Consider the following 18010-nt stretch of genomic DNA (forward strand, 5'->3'; position numbering starts at 1 on the left):
CCTGATACCTTATTGAGAAAATAGAATCCATCAGCTAGAAATTCATTTTCCTGTCCCCTACTCCACAGCTTTAACAGCATCTGTATCTATACTTTTCACCTGCTGAGGTCCGTCCCACTGGTCTAAATCCAAACACTTCATACATTGCCTGGATCCCATCTTTAACAACCTTTCTAGGGGACTTGCATTATCCCTTCTGTATCTTAATTTTCTCCTTCCCTACTGAACATTACACATTGGCATTTTAAATATATTCAAGTTTCTCTAGTCTTTAAAATACTCTCTGAGTCTGAATTCTTCTCCAGATACCAATGTATTTCTTATTCCTTTTACAGCCTTTTCATTCTTTACAAATTTCTTGAGAGCCTGGATGCAGTGAGCCAGTGAGCCTGGGTGACAGACTGAGACCCTGTCTCAAAAAAAAAATTGTTGAAAGAGCGGTTTACCTCATTTTTGCTTCCTCATCCGCCTCACTTTGCACCGAAGTACAATCTAATTTTCATCACAACCATTCTACTGAAACTGCTATTGCAAATGTTATCAAAGATTTCCATATAAGTTAAGATTATACTGTGGAACCAATGTGATGCAATGACACAGTGGCTTGTAAACATGTCTCTCTTTTTCACATGACAGTACCAATGTAAAAATTATTAGGTAGGTAGGGCAGCTTTCATCCTCACAGTCCTTCTGAAACCAAATTTTCTTTCAAGTAATTTCTTCAACATTCCCTATGGCAATATAATCTGCATGGCTGTAGCTGGGTCACTGTCACATCTGGGTTCTAGCTCGCTTGGAAGAAAGAGGCATATCCAGATGATTTCTGTTCTATAACTGGAAGGGGAAGACAGAAATTCTGCTCACAATCCATCTGTGAGAACTTAATTCACTTGGCCACACTCAAATACAAGGGAGGCTGGGATGGGCAATCTACCTTCATGGCCACATACCTGGGCACAGTTCTATTACTATAGAAGCAAAGGAAAACAGATTTTGTCAGACATCTATCAGAATCCTCCACAATGACCATCTTTTTAAGCCCACTGGATAATTGTCATACTTATTTTTCTTGATTTTTCTGAAGCATTTGCAGCCATTGATCTTCCTTATCTCCTTAAAATGCTATTTGCTTTTGATTTCATGATTTTGAACTCTGAGCCTTCTTTATCTTTTCAAATATACTTCTTGCCCTGTCTCCTCTAAATGAAGATGTTTCTCAGAGTTCTGTGCCAAGCCTCTTTTATACTTATTTGACACACTTTTGCTTGGTTATCCTAGAGCATTCATGGTGTGTATATATATATATATATATATATATATGGTGATTGAAACCATGAATGCTATATATATATATATGCTATATATATGCTCTCTGTATATATGCTATATATATGCTCTCTCTCTATATATATGCTATATATATGCTCTCTCTCTCTGTCTCTCTCTGTCTCTCTCTATATATATACATATATACACACCACAGTTCATATTGCCAGCTCAGATTTATTTCCTATGCTTTGGTTATATGCAAACACACACACACACACCCCACCACCACGCAAACACACATCCTACAGGCACTTACCTCAATATCAGCATGTTCAAAACTGAACACTTCATCTTTTTCCACCCCAATCATGTTTTTTTTTAGCATTCCCTGTCCTAGTGAATGACACCACTAGTCATCCAGATGCCCAGTCCAGAGGTGTGATATCATCTCTGAGTCTTTCCCATTTTTCTCCCCATGCAACCTATCAACCAACAGTTGAAAACATTTCATCTCCTCATACCTTTCTATTCATCCCTCTTCTCTCCATCCACACTGGCATTATCCTCATCCAGATCATCATCTCTTATCTGATCTCCTTGATTCTCCAGTCACTCCCCCTGAAATTAATTCTCCATACTGCAGCCAAACTGATTTTTTAAAATGCAGATGTAATCATGTTAATCAGATATTTAAAACCCATCTTTGTACTTGAATTACCTTTAGGATAAATTCAAGAATGCATGATATGACCTGTATAATGATTCATGTTCTCACCATGCTTTTAACCCTAATTTCATTGTTAGACCCTCCCCTTCCATAGTTTTTAAAGTCCAAGGCATACTTCATTTCTCTGTGTTCCTCAAAATGCCCATCTGAAATATTCCTCCTTCTCCTGGCTAGTTCCTTCAGATCACAATGTATTTTTCATTACCTCAGGAAAGCTTTCACTGATGTCCCAAGTCCGACTTTGATCTTAATTATTTTATTTTTGACAGACACTTAACCAGCACTTACAAACCACTTTGTAAATATTAATTCATTAGATGCCTACGATAATAATCATAGGAGACAAATATTATTACCCCATTTTACAGGTGAGGAAACAAAGGTATCTATAACTTGCCCAAGCTTATAGATAGTAAGTCACATAACCAGGATTCTAATATTGATAATTTGGTTCCAGATCCCATATTCCCAAGCACTAAGGTATGCAGCCTCCTAGGTACAAGAAGTCTTTTCTAGGTATTTCTATATTACTTTTTATAAATGCATACATTATGACATACTTCGTTTACTTGTCTGCCAATTTTTCTAGCTTGTGAGCTCTGTAAGAGCAAGAATTATCTCTAACTTATTTGTGCCATGTCCTTCTTTATATTTTTAAAATATAAAAGTGAAAAAAGTAATGATATTACCAACTATAGCTGACAACAAGTATTTACAAGAGTGAAGGAGATAATATATTTGTAATTACTCGAGAAATGACTTAAATAAAAAATTATTTCTTCAGTTCAGAATATTTTAACAGATCCTTTAGTGCCGAGCATTCAAAACAGTGATAATGCAGTGTATGGACTTTTCTGGATTCAAATTCAAACAAACCAACAGCAAAGGACATTTTGGAGAGAACTGGGGAAAACCAAATGCAGTATAAATTACACCAAGGAATTATTGCTCAAGTTGTTGATTGTGAACGTTTTATTACAATTATCTTTTAGAAGGCCTTACCTATTAAAAATACTTAGTGAAGTATTTAAAGGAAAAAAAATGATGTCTGGGATTTGTTTCGAATGTTCCGGATGTATTTATGAATTACTTTTTCAAAGAGGAAAACTTTTTTAATGAAAAAAAAAACATGGAGACACATGGTGGCGCTACAGGATAAGACGAAAACAGTACATAGGCTGGCACGGTGAGCTTCGCTATTCAGGAGAACAGAAAGCATCCAACCCACTGAAAAGACAGGCATTAAAGGAGCTTCGCCTACAGAGCTGCTGGAGGATACACTCTCCAGGGGGTTCCTGTTAAAAACCAGAGCTTCAGCTTCCAAAATTACGGCTGAGCTTCAGTTTTTCCACAAGAGATTGCCTAAAGGAACCATGGAGATCAGAGGGGCACTCGATCTGCGAAAAAGGCAAGTTCTAATATTCCTTGTTTTGCTGGGATTGTCTCGGGCAGGTACTGAATCTGCACACTATTCTGTGGCAGAGGAAACAGAAATTGGCTCTTTTGTGGCTAATCTAGCGAGGGACCTAGGGCTGGGGGTGGAGGAGCTGTCTTCACGTGAAGCCCGGGTAGTGTCTGATGATAATAAAAAGTATTTGCACCTTGATTTGCTGACTGGGAATTTGCTCCTAAATGAGAAACTAGACCGAGACGAGCTGTGTGGCTCCACCGAGCCCTGTGTGCTGCATTTTCAGGTGGTTTTGGAAAACCCTTTACAGTTTTTTCGGTTTGAGCTGTGTGTCAAAGACATAAATGATCACTCCCCTACATTTCTAGACAAGGAAATACTTATTAAAATATCAGAAGGTACCACTGTTGGAGCTACCTTTCTAATGGAGAGTGCTCAAGATTTGGATGTCGGAAGCAACAGTCTCCAAAACTACACAATTAGCCCCAATTCTCACTTCTACATTAAAATTCCCGACAGTAGTGACAGAAAGATATACCCAGAGCTGGTCCTAGATAGAGCTTTAGATTATGAACAGGAAGCTGAACTCAGATTAACACTCACAGCAGTGGATGGTGGATCCCCGCCCAAGTCTGGGACAACTTTGGTTCTCATCAAGGTGTTGGACATCAATGATAATGCCCCTGAGTTTCCTCAGAGTCTCTATGAGGTGCAAGTCCCCGAGGACAGACCCCTTGGCTCCTGGATTGCCACCATCTCAGCTAAGGATCTGGATGCAGGAAACTATGGAAAAATATCTTACACATTTTTCCATGCATCAGAAGATATTCGTAAAACATTTGAAATTAATCCAATATCTGGGGAAGTTAATTTGAGATCACCCCTGGATTTTGAAGTAATACAGTCCTACACTATAAATATTCAGGCAACAGATGGTGGGGGTCTTTCAGGAAAATGCACCCTTCTAGTTAAAGTTATGGATATAAACGACAACCCACCAGAAGTGACCATATCGTCGATTACAAAGAGAATTCCAGAGAATGCCTCAGAGACCCTAGTAGCTCTTTTTAGTATCCTAGACCAAGACTCTGGAGACAATGGGAGGATGATTTGCTCTATTCAAGATAACCTCCCTTTTTTCCTGAAACCGACCTTCAAGAACTTTTTCACTCTAGTTTCTGAAAAAGCACTGGACAGAGAGAGCCAAGCCGAGTACAACATCACGATCACCGTCACAGACTTGGGGACACCCAGGCTGAAAACCGAGTACAACATAACCGTGCTGCTCTCTGACGTCAATGACAACGCCCCCACCTTCACCCAAACCTCCTACACCCTGTTCGTCCGCGAGAACAACAGCCCCGCCCTGCACATCGGCAGCGTCAGCGCCACAGACAGAGACTCAGGCACCAACGCCCAGGTCAACTACTCGCTGCTGCCGCCCCAGGACCGGCACCTGCCCCTCGCCTCCTTGGTCTCCATCAACGCGGACAATGGCCACCTGTTTGCCCTCAGGTCGCTGGACTACGAGGCCCTACAGGAGTTCGAGTTTCGCGTGGGCGCCACAGACCGCGGGTCCCCGGCGTTGAGCAGCGAGGCGCTGGTGCGCGTGCTGGTGCTGGACGCCAACGACAACTCGCCCTTCGTGCTGTACCCGCTGCAGAACGGCTCCGCGCCCTGCACCGAGCTGGTGCCCCGGGCGGCCGAGCCGGGCTACCTGGTGACCAAGGTGGTGGCGGTGGACGGCGACTCGGGCCAGAACGCCTGGCTGTCGTACCAGCTGCTCAAGGCCACGGAGCCCGGGCTGTTCGGCGTGTGGGCGCACAATGGCGAGGTGCGCACCGCCAGGCTGCTGAGCGAGCGCGACGCGGCCAAGCACAGGCTGGTGGTGCTGGTCAAGGACAATGGCGAGCCTCCTCGCTCGGCCACCGCCACGCTGCACGTGCTCCTGGTGGACGGCTTCTCCCAGCCCTACCTGCCGCTCCCTGAGGCGGCCCCGGCCCAGGCCCAGGCCGACTCCCTCACCGTCTACCTGGTGGTGGCATTGGCCTCGGTGTCGTCGCTCTTCCTCTTCTCGGTGCTCCTGTTCGTGGCGGTGCGGCTGTGCAGGAGGAGCAGGGCGGCCTCGGTGGGTCGCTGCTCGGTGCCCGAGGGTCCCTTTCCAGGGCATCTGGTGGACGTGAGCGGCACCGGGACCCTGTCCCAGAGCTACCAATACGAGGTGTGTCTGACAGGAGGTTCCGGGACAAATGAGTTCAAATTTCTGAAGCCGATTATCCCCAATTTTCAAGTTCATGACACTGGTAGGAATATGGGGGAAATCGAGAACTTTCGAAATAGCTTTGGACTTAACATTCAATAAAACAATTTATTTTAAATGTCTAATTTTTGGTTATTCTTGGCAAGCTGATGGTACTTTTTGCATAATCTTTTGTGGATTCTTGGTTGTACTGTAGTTGCATGCATGATTATAGCTCTTGTTTTTCTCACAGTTTCTTTAAAAATCTTTATTAGTGGCTATAATGACGTGGAAATGTAATCTGTGTTTTCTGGTTTTTCATTTATTTGGCCAAAATGTTATATTAATGGAGTTATTGCTATTTTTGCTGTGATAATGGTATTATGCAAGACCATATTCTCAATTATTTGGATATGCAAACTAAAGTATTAAGAGCTAATGTCATTATATATGTAACTTAAATCTAGACACCATCAAAGCATAAAATAAAAATAAAAAGCGTTGCTGAATCTGGGTCGAAAATGTAGTGCGTTTATCCCACTATTCTCTCTGAAAATGTTCTTTAGAAAGGGTAACAAAGATGCTATCCCTCCATTTTCAGTTCTGGAGAACCTTATTAGTTTTTCAAATATTTACTTTATGATGAAACTTAAGTGGTCACATTGGAAATTATTAATTTCTTAAGTAATTTTTTCTGTAACTGCTTTTGTTGATAATCCTGTTGTGGAGGAAGAGTCTTATAATGCTCTGGGCTTTGCTGTCACTCTTTGGTTTTCTTAATTTAATTCTATTTATTTATGTTTTTTGAGACAGGGTCTCATTCCATTGACCTGGCTGGAATGCAGTGGCACCATCATGGCTCACTGCCGCCTTGACTTCCTGGGTTCAGGTGATTCTCCTGCCTCAGCCTCCTGAGTAGCTGGATCACCAGCACAGGCCACTACGGCCTGGCTAATTCTTTTGTATTTTTTTTGTACAGATGGAATCTTGCCATGTTTCCCAGTCTGGTCTGGAACTCCTTGGCTCAAGCGATCTGCCCGCCTTAGCTAGTTTTTTGTTTTTGTTTTTTGAGACAAAGTCTCACTTTGTTGTCCAGGCTAGAGAGTAGTGGCAGGATCTTGGCTCACTGCAGCCTCGACATCCTGGGCTCAGGCAATCCTCCTGCTTCGGCCTATTAAATAGCTCAAACTACAGGCACCCGCCACGATGCCTAGCTAAATTTTTGTATATGTGGTAGAGATGGAGTTTTGCCATGTGGCCCAGGCTAGTCTCGAACTCCTGAACTCAAGTGATCCACCTGCTTTGGCCTCCCAACGTGCTAGGATTACAGGCATGAGCCATTACGTCTGGCCTAGTTTTCTTTAAATACACCGTGTTTACTAGCTTAAATTTTGTGTTGTTTATTACTAAAGCAGAAAATAATTTAGGGTCTTATCCTGGGTAAAATAGCCTTCCATCAGATGAGTACAAAGCAAGAACTTCATAAGAAATTGAAATGAAGATTCAAACTGTTAAAGAAATGATTTAGTTTCACTTTCCTATTAATTATTGAGTAAATATAAAACATCATTAACACTTTGTGGCCTCTCTCAGATGCCTACAAAGAAGGAATGGGTAGGCATTTATGGTTTATAGTTGCCTCATCATGTAACATATTATATCTCAGCTCTAAAAGAAAGTTCTATAGAAGATTATAGATAGAGATTTTGATAACTGGAATGTAGTATGGATATAGGGCTGGTGTACATATACATTTTGAAATTGCTCTTACAAGATTAAATACTATTATAGACCAGATGATGTAGTAAAATGGAATTTCACTTGCCATTGTGAAATAGGTGAAACAAATTCCAGTTTCCTTAGATTTCTTCCCTCTACTTTATGCAATTATCACTGATTTTATTTTTCGTTGTAACAAGTAGTTATTTGTTGTGTGGATTTCTTAAAATTGACATTTAAACAATAAAATCCTGAAAAGAATATTTGGGTCCCCTTTTTCCCTCAGAGTCATAAGAGGCAAAACTGTGCTCTTAAGTCACTGCTAATGTAAAAACTGAAGTAACTAAAAACTAAAGAAAGAGAGAAGAAAGACTAGAATAAGGTAGAAAAAAGTGAAATGGAAAGAGAAATAAAAGTGTATTTTTAACCTCAGTATTATCAATTATAAATGAAAATTTAAAATAGTATTGAAACTATAATGTTTCTAGAAATTAGGCTAACAAGTCAGAAAACCTTTGTGGAAAAGTGAATGATGTCAATAAAACATTAAATGAAATAATTAAATGTCTGAGTTAATTGAGACAGATGCTAGTTCCTTGATAGAACAACTTAATAAAGATCTATGCTTCCCAAAATAATTTATAAATTCAATGCAATTCCAGTGAAATCCATCATAAGTAGTTAAGGATCTAAAAATGGTTTCTAATATTAATATAGAAGAACAAGTTGCATGAAGAGCTAGGATAATTTTTAAAAAGAAAAATGAGGGAATGCCTTACATTATAGATATTAGTACATATTACAAATATGAAGTAAGTAAATCTATCTGAATGATTCAGGAACAGACTCATAGACTACCAGATAGAATAGAACCCAGGATCAGATCCTCTTATATAAGACAACTTGGTCACAGGAGGTATCGTAAAAACTGGGGTTGGTGGAGAAGAGAGATTATTTAGCAAACGTTATTGGGGAGATTGGCTCACTATATACAAAAACAAAATCCCTATCTCATGTCATATAAAAACAACCTTCATATGTATGTAATAGGTGAATTTGAAATATTTGAATTGGAAGAGATGAAATAAATCTAGGTAAAAATATTCATATCATCTTAGTTTGGGTTTGGATTTCTTAACAAGGCTTTAAAGCACAAAAAAGAAAAATACAAACTGATGAATATTACTGCCTCAAAATTAAAGGATAGCACAGACAAACTAACAGATGACAGTGAGAAGCCACCTGCAGTATTTTAACTGACAAGATTAATATTTACATTATTCAAATAACTCTTGCAAATCAACAACAACAAAGCCAGGAGAGACAATAGGATTTTTTAAGACAAAGGAAATGGAAATTCAAAAAAAGGGAAAACAGCCTGAAAATAGCTTTAAATGAAGTTCAACCCTTTTAGTTGGTGAAACATACACTAAAATTAGTAAAGATGAGAGATTTGGGTAATATCAAGTGGAATAATAGGAAATGACATGTACAGCCTATTTAGAGAGCTTTCTGATAGTATTTAGTAAAATTTAATATATATGTACTCTATAATTCAGCAATTCTATTGGAGTGTGTAAGCCAGAAAACTCTTAAAGAGCTTTACAAAATGATGTATATAAGAATATTCATCCTGGGAAAGTGAAGAATAGGACTCCACTTACATATCCATCAGTAAAGCAATTGATAAAATGTGTAACATGTTAGTGAAGGATTATTATGCAGTGATCAAAAGGAGTTAGCTAGACATGCAATCACATAAATAAATCTCAAATGTTTTAAAAGAAAAAAGACAAAGATTTATAGTATGGTGATATACACAATATCTTTTTTTTTTATTATACTTTAAGTTTTAGGGTACATGTGCACCTTGTGCAGGTTAGTTACATATGTATACATGTGCCATGCTGGTGCGCTGCACCCACTAACTCGTCAACTAGCATTAGGTATATCTCCCAATGCTATCCCTCCCCCCTCCCCCCACCCCACCACAGTCCCCAGAGTATGATATTCCCCTTCCTGTGTCCATGTGATCTCAATGTTCAATTCCCACCTATGAGTGAGAATATGCGGTGTTTGGTTTTTTGTTTTTGCGATAGTTTACTGAGAATGATGATTTCCAATTTCATCCATGTCCCTACAAAGGACATGAACTCATCATTTTTTATGGCTGCATAGTATTCCATGGTGTATATGTGCCACATTTTCTTAATCCAGTCTATCATTGTTGGACATTTGGGTTGGTTCCAAGTCTTTGCTATTGTGAATAATGCCTCAATAAACATACGTGTGCATGTGTCTTTATAGCAGCATGATTTATAGTCATTTGGGTATATACCCAGTAATGGGATGGCTGGGTCAAATGGTATTCTAGTTCTAGAACCCTGAGGAATCGCCACACTGACTTCCACAATGGTTGAACCAGTATACAGTCCCACCAACAGTGTAAAAGTGTTCCTATTTCTCCACATCCTCTCCAGCACCTGTTGTTTCCTGACTTTTTAATGATTGCCATTCTAACTGGTGTGAGATGGTATCTCATAGTGGTTTTGATTTGCATTTCTCTGATGGCCAGTGATGATGAGCATTTTTTCATCTGTTTTTTGGCTGCATAAATGTCTTCTTTTGAGAAGTGTCTGTTCATGTCCTTCGCCCACTTTTTGATGGGGTTGTTTGTTTTTTTCTTGTAAATTTGTTTGAGTTCATTGTAGATTCTGGATATTAGCCCTTTGTCAGATGAATAGGTTGCGAAAATTTTCTCCTTATTTATAGAAATATGCAAATATATAAATACACTTTATGAAGGGAGAGAAGAGAGAATATAGGAAAGCTATTTGTGCACATATAGGGGAATAAGGGGTATAGAAAGAAGTGAGAATGAATACCAATTAAATGGCAGTTGTCTCTTCCAAGAGATTGTTTCAATTCATTATGTCATTATAGAATTGATTTAGCATTGAACAGTTGAAGTTGTTTAAAAATACTATTATTTCTTAGCCTTCCAAAATAATCAGTTGCCCATAGAATATGAAAGCTAAGAGTTTACTTGTAATTTTGAGTTGCAACAATATCCCTGAGACTTTACATTTTTAATAAGGTTGGTAAAAATTATGTAGCACAATGATTTCACTGAAAACAATTAGCTATTAAGATATTAATATATTGTCAGGTTAAAGTTAATGGTAAAAGGAAACCCAGAGAGATAAGCAAGACCAAAATCTACTTTTTCCTTGGGAATCCTGGAAAACTTGAACCTCTATTAATAAGCATGGATCCCTAAGAGCCACACCCTTGGAGTGAGAGTAAACTGGAAATGGATGAACCCTTGTGGGGAATTTCAGCCTTGAACTTGATATTTAGCCTTAAACTTGATTTAAAGTGATCATTGACAGTTCTCCCAGGAACTGATAGAATCAAATGCAGATGTTTTATGAAATCTAACTTCTTTTTTTTTCGAGACAGAGTTTCGCTCTTGTTGCCCAGGCTGGAGTGCAATGGCACGATCTCTGCCCACTACAACCTCCACCTCCTGGATTTAAGAGATTCTCCTGCCTCAGCCTCCCTAGTAGCTGGGATTACAGGCATGCACCACCACGCCCGGCTTTTTTTTTTTTTTTTTTAAGTAGACATGGGGTTTCTCCATGTTGGTCAGGCTGGTCTTGAACTCCCTACCTCAGGTGATCCGCCTGCCTCAGCCTCCCAAAGTGCTGGGATTACAGGCGTGAGCCACCGCACCCAGTCAAAATCTGACTTCTTATAGTGAATGTGAATGTGACCTTACAGCTTTTTTTTTTTGAGACGGAGTCTCGCTCTGTCGCCCAGTTTCTGAATGTTTGAACGTTTATTCACTCTAAGCCTCAAATCATTCATACAACTAATTTTTTATGTTCTTAACATAAACAGTCAAAGATAAGTGCATACACAAGAGAACGTGACACTATGAGTGAGAGCCAGCAGAAAAAAGGAACATAAAAATAAACTTGCAAGCATTTCAAATATTGTAATTATCAGACACAGTCTACAATATGCTAGGCACTTTAATTGAAATAAAAGTTAAACCTGAAGGTGTACAGGGAAAAATACTATAAAATTTGACAGATTAGAAAACAAAATAGAACTCCTAGAAATGAAAAACTATAATAATCAAAATTTTAAACCAACTAGAAAATTTAATAGAAGATTAGATATAACTAAACAAATAATTACTGAAAAGAAAGATAGATGAGGATATAATTTATCCAATATGTAGGTCAGAAAGTTGATAAGATGAAAAATACAGAAGAGAATATTAGAAACAGAGGACAAAGTAAAAAAGTTTAACATATGTTTAACCAGAACAAGGAGATCAGAGAAAAATTGTATCAGAAGCAATAGTTAAAGAAATAATAATTTGAATTCTTCAGAATTGATGAAAACTTCAACAAGCAGATTTAAGAGACCTAAATAAACCTAACAGGATAAATTTAAAAAGATATCCATATCTAGAAACATATTGAAAGCTCAGAAAACCAAAGAAAAAGAGAAATCTTTTTTTTCAAAAGCCATGGGAAAAGGACATTGAACCCTGAAGCACATGACAGACTGACAGCTATGCTCCATGTTTCTCAACAGTAGCAATAGAAAAAAATAGAAAGTAAGATATCTTTAATGTACTGAAGGAAGTTGGCAAACATTTCTACCTAAATGGTCTTTGCATGTAAGAGTCATCAAATGAGAGCATGAACTCAACTTGATATCAGTTTAATTTTAAATTATTCCAGATGACAAGAAAGAAGTAGCATAAAGACATTTTATCTCTTAAATGTGACTTCTTATAGTTTTCCTCTTTGCCCATCCCTTGCAACAATTCTGGGTCCAAGAGTTTGACCTATCTCTGTTTCTAGCCTTCTTCATCTCTAATGACATTCACTTCTACTCTAGCTTAGTCACCTATAACCATGGCCTCTCTCTGGAGATGGTAATCTCTGAAAACTACATCAAGTCTGAAGTCACAAATTCAAATATACTTCTTTTAATCTGCAACTTATTATCTTTCCTGAAGAGCTTTAATCACCATTTATGCCAAATGTGACTCTATAGCCCAAACGTCTTTCCTCAACTGCATTTATGTAATAGAAGCTAATTTATATAACTGTCTATATGGATGCTCAAACTCATCCGTTTAAAATTAAAACTGTTCCCTTCCTCAAAACTAAATATACCTTCACCAACCAGCTCCATATCTATTCCTCTTTCTTCTGCTCTTCCTGTGTTTATCAGTTAATAGAACCAACAGTCACTCAGTTCCCTAAGCCTGAAGACAAAGTACATTTACCTTCATGCCTTTCTACCCCACTCCTTCTATGTTGATCACCACACCCCTATTGTTTTATCATTCTAATACAACCCCTTCACTGCATTTCTAGTTGAGGCCAATGTTTCCTCTTACTTGTATTATTGCAACCATTTGTAATCAATCTCTCACCTTTAATCTTATTCCTCTCTAATTTATTCTCAACTCTGAAACAGGATAATCTTTTTAAAAAGTAGAAACATAATCATGCCACTTTCCTGTTTTAATTATAATCCCTTTAATAACCCTGCATTTCTACTGGCATAAAGTCCAAATACTTTGACATAGTTAAAAAATATATGCTTATCTTTCCAATTTCAACTCTTACCACTTCTCTCCTCTTGCTCTATGTCTTAGCCATATTGATTTTATTTCCTCCAAATACTTCTCTTTATTTGCATTTGCACAATCTTGTTTTTAGTTTTCCTGAACAATTTTACCCCATACCCAATTTTTGTTTAAAGTACTCCTATTAATTTTTAATGTATCAACTTAGAGAATACTTTCTCCAGAAAAATCTGTCTTGTATTTCCAAATTCTGGTTAGATGACCATCATCTATGCCCTTGTAGTAGCATGAACTTCCTTTATCATGACATTCATTGTGCTCTATTTAAAATACATGGTCATTTTTCTGTCTCCCTCTTGCATGGCAGGAACTATGTCTGTTTACCATTCTATCCCTAACACTTATGACCATTCCTTGCACAAAGTATATTCTCAATAACTATCTGCTAAGCTAATTAATTAATAGATATATAAACATATTTAAAATTGTGCCTCTGGAAAGCCTGGGTCTGCAAATGATGAAATTCAGTTTCACAACTAAACTGAGGTCTAATTTGTTCACATTTTAAAAAATGTTTAACTGGACTTGCTTTTAGATTGAAAACCAGAAATGTTTTATTTTACTCACTACTTCTGAGCATTTATTTTCTACTCCTGCCAGCTAAGTCTCCTACTGAGTATCCCTAAATAAATCGTACCATTTATGCAGCTCAAAATGTCCAACCTTTCCAAAGCAACTGTTTTCATATACCAGGTTCATTTTCAAGTACATGATGTCATTCCTCTTTTCGAAGAGTAGTTGTGGAGAGAGCTAAGACCTCTAATTCTCATTTCCAATTTTACTAAAAATCTGTTGCCTACTAAGTCAATTACATGTAAGAGTATTCTTCACTATCTTTAGTTGTTTAATATATTGTCTTCACAGAGAGATCATAACTCGTTTGAGGCAGGGGCTACATCTTAAATATGCTTCTTATATCTACTACAGCTATAGCAGATTGTGGCTGATGATGGAAAGGTAATGGCATCACATATCACAAAAATGCAACTCGGAAAATAGGCATATAGAAGGAGCATATAATTTAAATTTATAGACAAACACACAAGAAAAATTAATATTTTGTCTGAAACGTATTGGAATTTATCTAAAACCTGAATATCTGCAGAGTCGCATGGTGGCGCTGCAGGATAAGACGGTGAAATTTTTGTAACCGCAGATGCTCTGGTTTTCCTTAACCATGGGAACTGAAAGCGCTGGAATACCAGGAGAAAATAGTCTTTCAAAAGGTAGGGCACCATCAACACCTTCGCGACAGGATTAAGAGTTTCTAGATTCCCAAAGGTCCAGGCTGATAGGTGAGAGGAGCAACTTTAAGAGCTGCTAGAGACTGAGTTGAAACGTTTACGCCAGAAAGACGTTTGGCTAAGGAGCTATGGAGCCGGGAAAGGGAAGAGCTCAGCGGACAAGGCAAGTGCTGCTTTTCTTTGTTTTCCTGGGAGGGTCTTTGGTGTGTTCTGAGACCGGGAGCTATTCCATAGCAGAGGAAATGGAGGTCGGTACCTTTATAGCCAACGTGGTGAAAGACATGGGTTTGGATGTGGAAGACCTGGCTGCAAGGGGGGGCCAGAGTCATCTTTGACGACTATAAACCTTATTTGCGATTGGATCCACAGAATGGCGACTTGCTCTTAAACGAGCAGCTGGACCGGGAGGCACTTTGTGATCTCACAGAGCCATGTATATTGCATTTCCAGGTGTTATTTGAAAATCCGTTGCAATTTTTTCGTGCTGAGCTTTTGGTCAAAGACATAAATGATCACACTCCCACGTTCCTAAACAATCATATGCTTCTAAAAATCTCCGAAGGTGCTACTCTAGGAACCTTATTCCAAATAGATAGTGCGCAGGACTTGGATGTGGGAAAGAATGGTGTTCAAAACTATACAATAAGTCCCAATCCCCATTTCCACCTTAAATTACGGGATAGCGATGAGGGCAGAAAATATCCAGAGTTGGTACTGGACCAATCCCTGGATCGAGAAAAGGTGTCTGAGTTTAGTTTAACGCTAACAGCCGTGGATGGCGGGTCTCCGCCCAGGTCTGGGACTACACTGATTAACGTTGTGGTCCTGGACATCAGTGACAATGCCCCTGAATTTGAGAAGCCAGTCTATGAAGTTCTTGTACCTGAGAGCAGCCCTCTGGACTCCTTGATCATCAAAGCGTCTGCTACAGATTTAGATGCAGGAATAAATGGAGAACTGTCTTATTCATTTTCCCACGTCTCCAGAGATGTACGGAAAACATTTGAAATCCATCCAATTTCTGGCGAAGTCTATTTAAAAGCCCCTCTAGATTTCGAGATTATTCAATCTTATATCATAAATATTCAGGCCATTGAAGGTGGGAGCCTTTCTGGAAAATCAAGCATTTTAGTTCGGGTTGTAGATGTGAATGACAACCCGCCAGAAATAGCCATGACATCTCTTACCAGCCCCATACCGGAAAACTCTTCACCTGAGATGGTGGTCGCTGTTTTCAGCATACGAGACCAAGACGCTGGAGACAATGGGAGAACAGTTTGCTCAATTCAGGACAACCTCCCCTTTGTCTTGAAGCCTACCTTCAAGAATTTTTACGCTCTGGTAACAGAGCACCCACTGGACAGAGAGGTCAGAAATGAATATAACATCACCATCACCGTGACCGACTTGGGGACACCCAGGCTGAAAACCGAGCACAACATAACCGTGCTGGTCTCCGACGTCAATGACAACGCCCCCATCTTCACCCAAACCTCCTACACCCTGTTCGTCCGCGAGAACAACAGCCCCGCCCTGCACATCGGCAGCGTCAGCGCTACAGACAGAGACTCAGGCACCAACGCCCAGGTCACCTACTCGCTGCTGCCGCCCCAGGACCCGCACCTGCCCCTCACCTCCCTGGTCTCCATCAACGCGGACAACGGCCACCTATTCGCCCTCAGGTCTTTGGACTACGAGGCCCTGCAGGAGTTCGGGTTTCGCGTGGGCGCCGCAGACCACGGCTCCCCGGCGCTGAGCAGCGAGGTGCTGGTGCGCGTGCTGGTGCTGGACGCCAACGACAACTCGCCCTTCGTGCTGTACCCGCTGCAGAACGGCTCGGCGCCCTGCACCGAGCTGGTACCTCGGGCGGCCGAGCCGGGCTACCTGGTGACCAAGGTGGTGGCGGTGGACGGCGACTCGGGCCAGAACGCCTGGCTGTCGTACCAGCTGCTCAAGGCCACGGAGCCCGGGCTGTTCGGCGTGTGGGCGCACAATGGCGAGGGGCGCACCGCCAGGCTGCTGAGCGAGCGCGACGCGGCCAAGCACAGGCTGGTGGTGCTGGTCAAGGACAATGGCGAGCCTCCGCGCTCGGCCACCGCCACGCTGCACGTGCTCCTGGTGGAGGGCTTCTCTCAGCCCTACCTGCCTCTCACGGAGGCTGCCCCCTCCCAGGCCCAGGCCGACTCCCTCACCGTCTACCTGGTGGTGGCGTTGGCCTCGGTGTCGTCGCTCTTCCTCTTCTCGGTGTTCCTGTTCGTGGCGGTGCGGCTGTGCAGGAGGAGCAGGGCGGCCTCGATGGGTCGCTGCTCGGTGCCCGAGTGTCCCTTTCCAGGGCATCTGGTAGACGTGAGCGGCACCGGGACCCTATCCCAGAGCTACCAGTACGAGGTGTGTCTGACGGGAGGCTCAGGGGCAAATGAGTTCAAGTTCCTGAAGCCGGTGATTCCCAATCTCCTGTCCCGCGACAGCGAAATGGAGAAAGCCCCACCTTTCTGAATGGCGTGGAATGCAATTAGGGATCTGATTATGATGCAGAACTTTTAGAATGAGTCTATTTCTTTGAAATCTTATTCATTGTTATGCAGAGTTTTTCATTTTGGGTAACTGCATTTTACTCAAGAGTTTTCAGAAGTTACAAGAATTTAAGTCTATTTTTTGTTGTTTTAACCGTGAAAAAATTGAGAGCCGGAATTTGCTTAGTCATTGTTTTGAAATACAACCTCAAATAATATATTCACAAACACATTATTTTCCCTTCAAGTTTAATCGCACACTGGGCTCATTCATATTTTCTGAGTGTTCTGACTGTGGATCCTCTATCCAAAGCAGTTTTTATATAATTGAGAATATTATTATAGAGGTAAATGCATGATATGAATAAAAACATAATTGCTTGTTATCTGGTTAGGTTGGTTTCTGAGATGTTATCTAATTTAGGTTTCTTTCTTAAAAACCTATAATCTTTTCATTCTACTTTTCTGGCAAACATTGCAGAGAATTTTTCCTGTACTTAGGGTTTTTTTTCCATAATTATTTGTGAACCATATATATGCTAGTAGAAGTTGTTTTATTTAAATAAATTCAAAACCTTGTTTGGATTAAGATGTATATATCCAGCTCATGCTCATTTCTTGTCTGAGAACTTCTCTATACTACCTAAGAGAGGTGATCACTAGTGTGATGCTTATTCCATTGCAGGCCTTCTTTTCTTACATACACACACACACACACACACACACACACACACACACACACCGTTTGTTTTTTTCGTTTTTTAAGAGATGAGGTCTTGCCATGTCACACGGGCTAGTCTTGAACTCCTGGCCTCCAGTGATCGTACCGCATCAGCTTCCCAAGTTGTTGGGATTACAGGCATGAGCCCTGATCATTTTTTATTGGTCCTGTGATAGATTCCTGATTTAAGCTGGAATAGCTACATTCTCCAAACCCCTAAATTTGTGATTGAGATATAGTTCATCTACTTTTTCCTCTTGAATAAGTGTTGAACGTGGGCTGAGGTAGCCATGTTTATAAGTTTCTAGATAGAGAGAAAAAGAGGGAGAGAAAATGGAAGGAAAGAGTAAAAGTGAAAAGGAATAAGAGTGGAGGAGGCAGAAGCCTAGAAAACAGTAGAGACTAAAACAGCTACTTAGTTCTAGACCTGTCCACCTAAGTACAGTTCCTCCTAAGTCTCCAATGTCTAATTGCCCTTGGGTTCTACAGT

The 18010-nt window shown here is 40.3% G+C and overlaps 1 protein-coding gene, 1 pseudogene and 1 further gene across 2 annotated transcripts; all 3 read left to right on the forward strand.

Annotated features, from left to right (window-relative positions):
- Positions 1-18010, forward strand: part of PCDHB@ (protocadherin beta cluster) — a 197972-nt gene that overhangs the window by 168743 nt on the left and 11219 nt on the right.
- PCDHB14 (protocadherin beta 14) lies at positions 3207-7623 on the forward strand. The gene has a single exon (NM_018934.4). The coding sequence runs from the start codon at positions 3370-3372 to the stop codon at positions 5764-5766; it is 2397 nt and encodes a 798-aa protein (NP_061757.1). The 5' UTR covers positions 3207-3369; the 3' UTR covers positions 5767-7623.
- On the forward strand, positions 14197-17393 carry PCDHB18P (protocadherin beta 18 pseudogene; annotated as a pseudogene). The gene has a single exon (NR_001281.2). The product of NR_001281.2 is annotated as a protocadherin beta 18 pseudogene (transcript).

The sequence above is a fragment of the Homo sapiens genome, chromosome 5 (genome assembly GCF_000001405.40).
Source record: "Homo sapiens chromosome 5, GRCh38.p14 Primary Assembly".
NCBI lineage: Eukaryota > Metazoa > Chordata > Mammalia > Primates > Hominidae > Homo > Homo sapiens.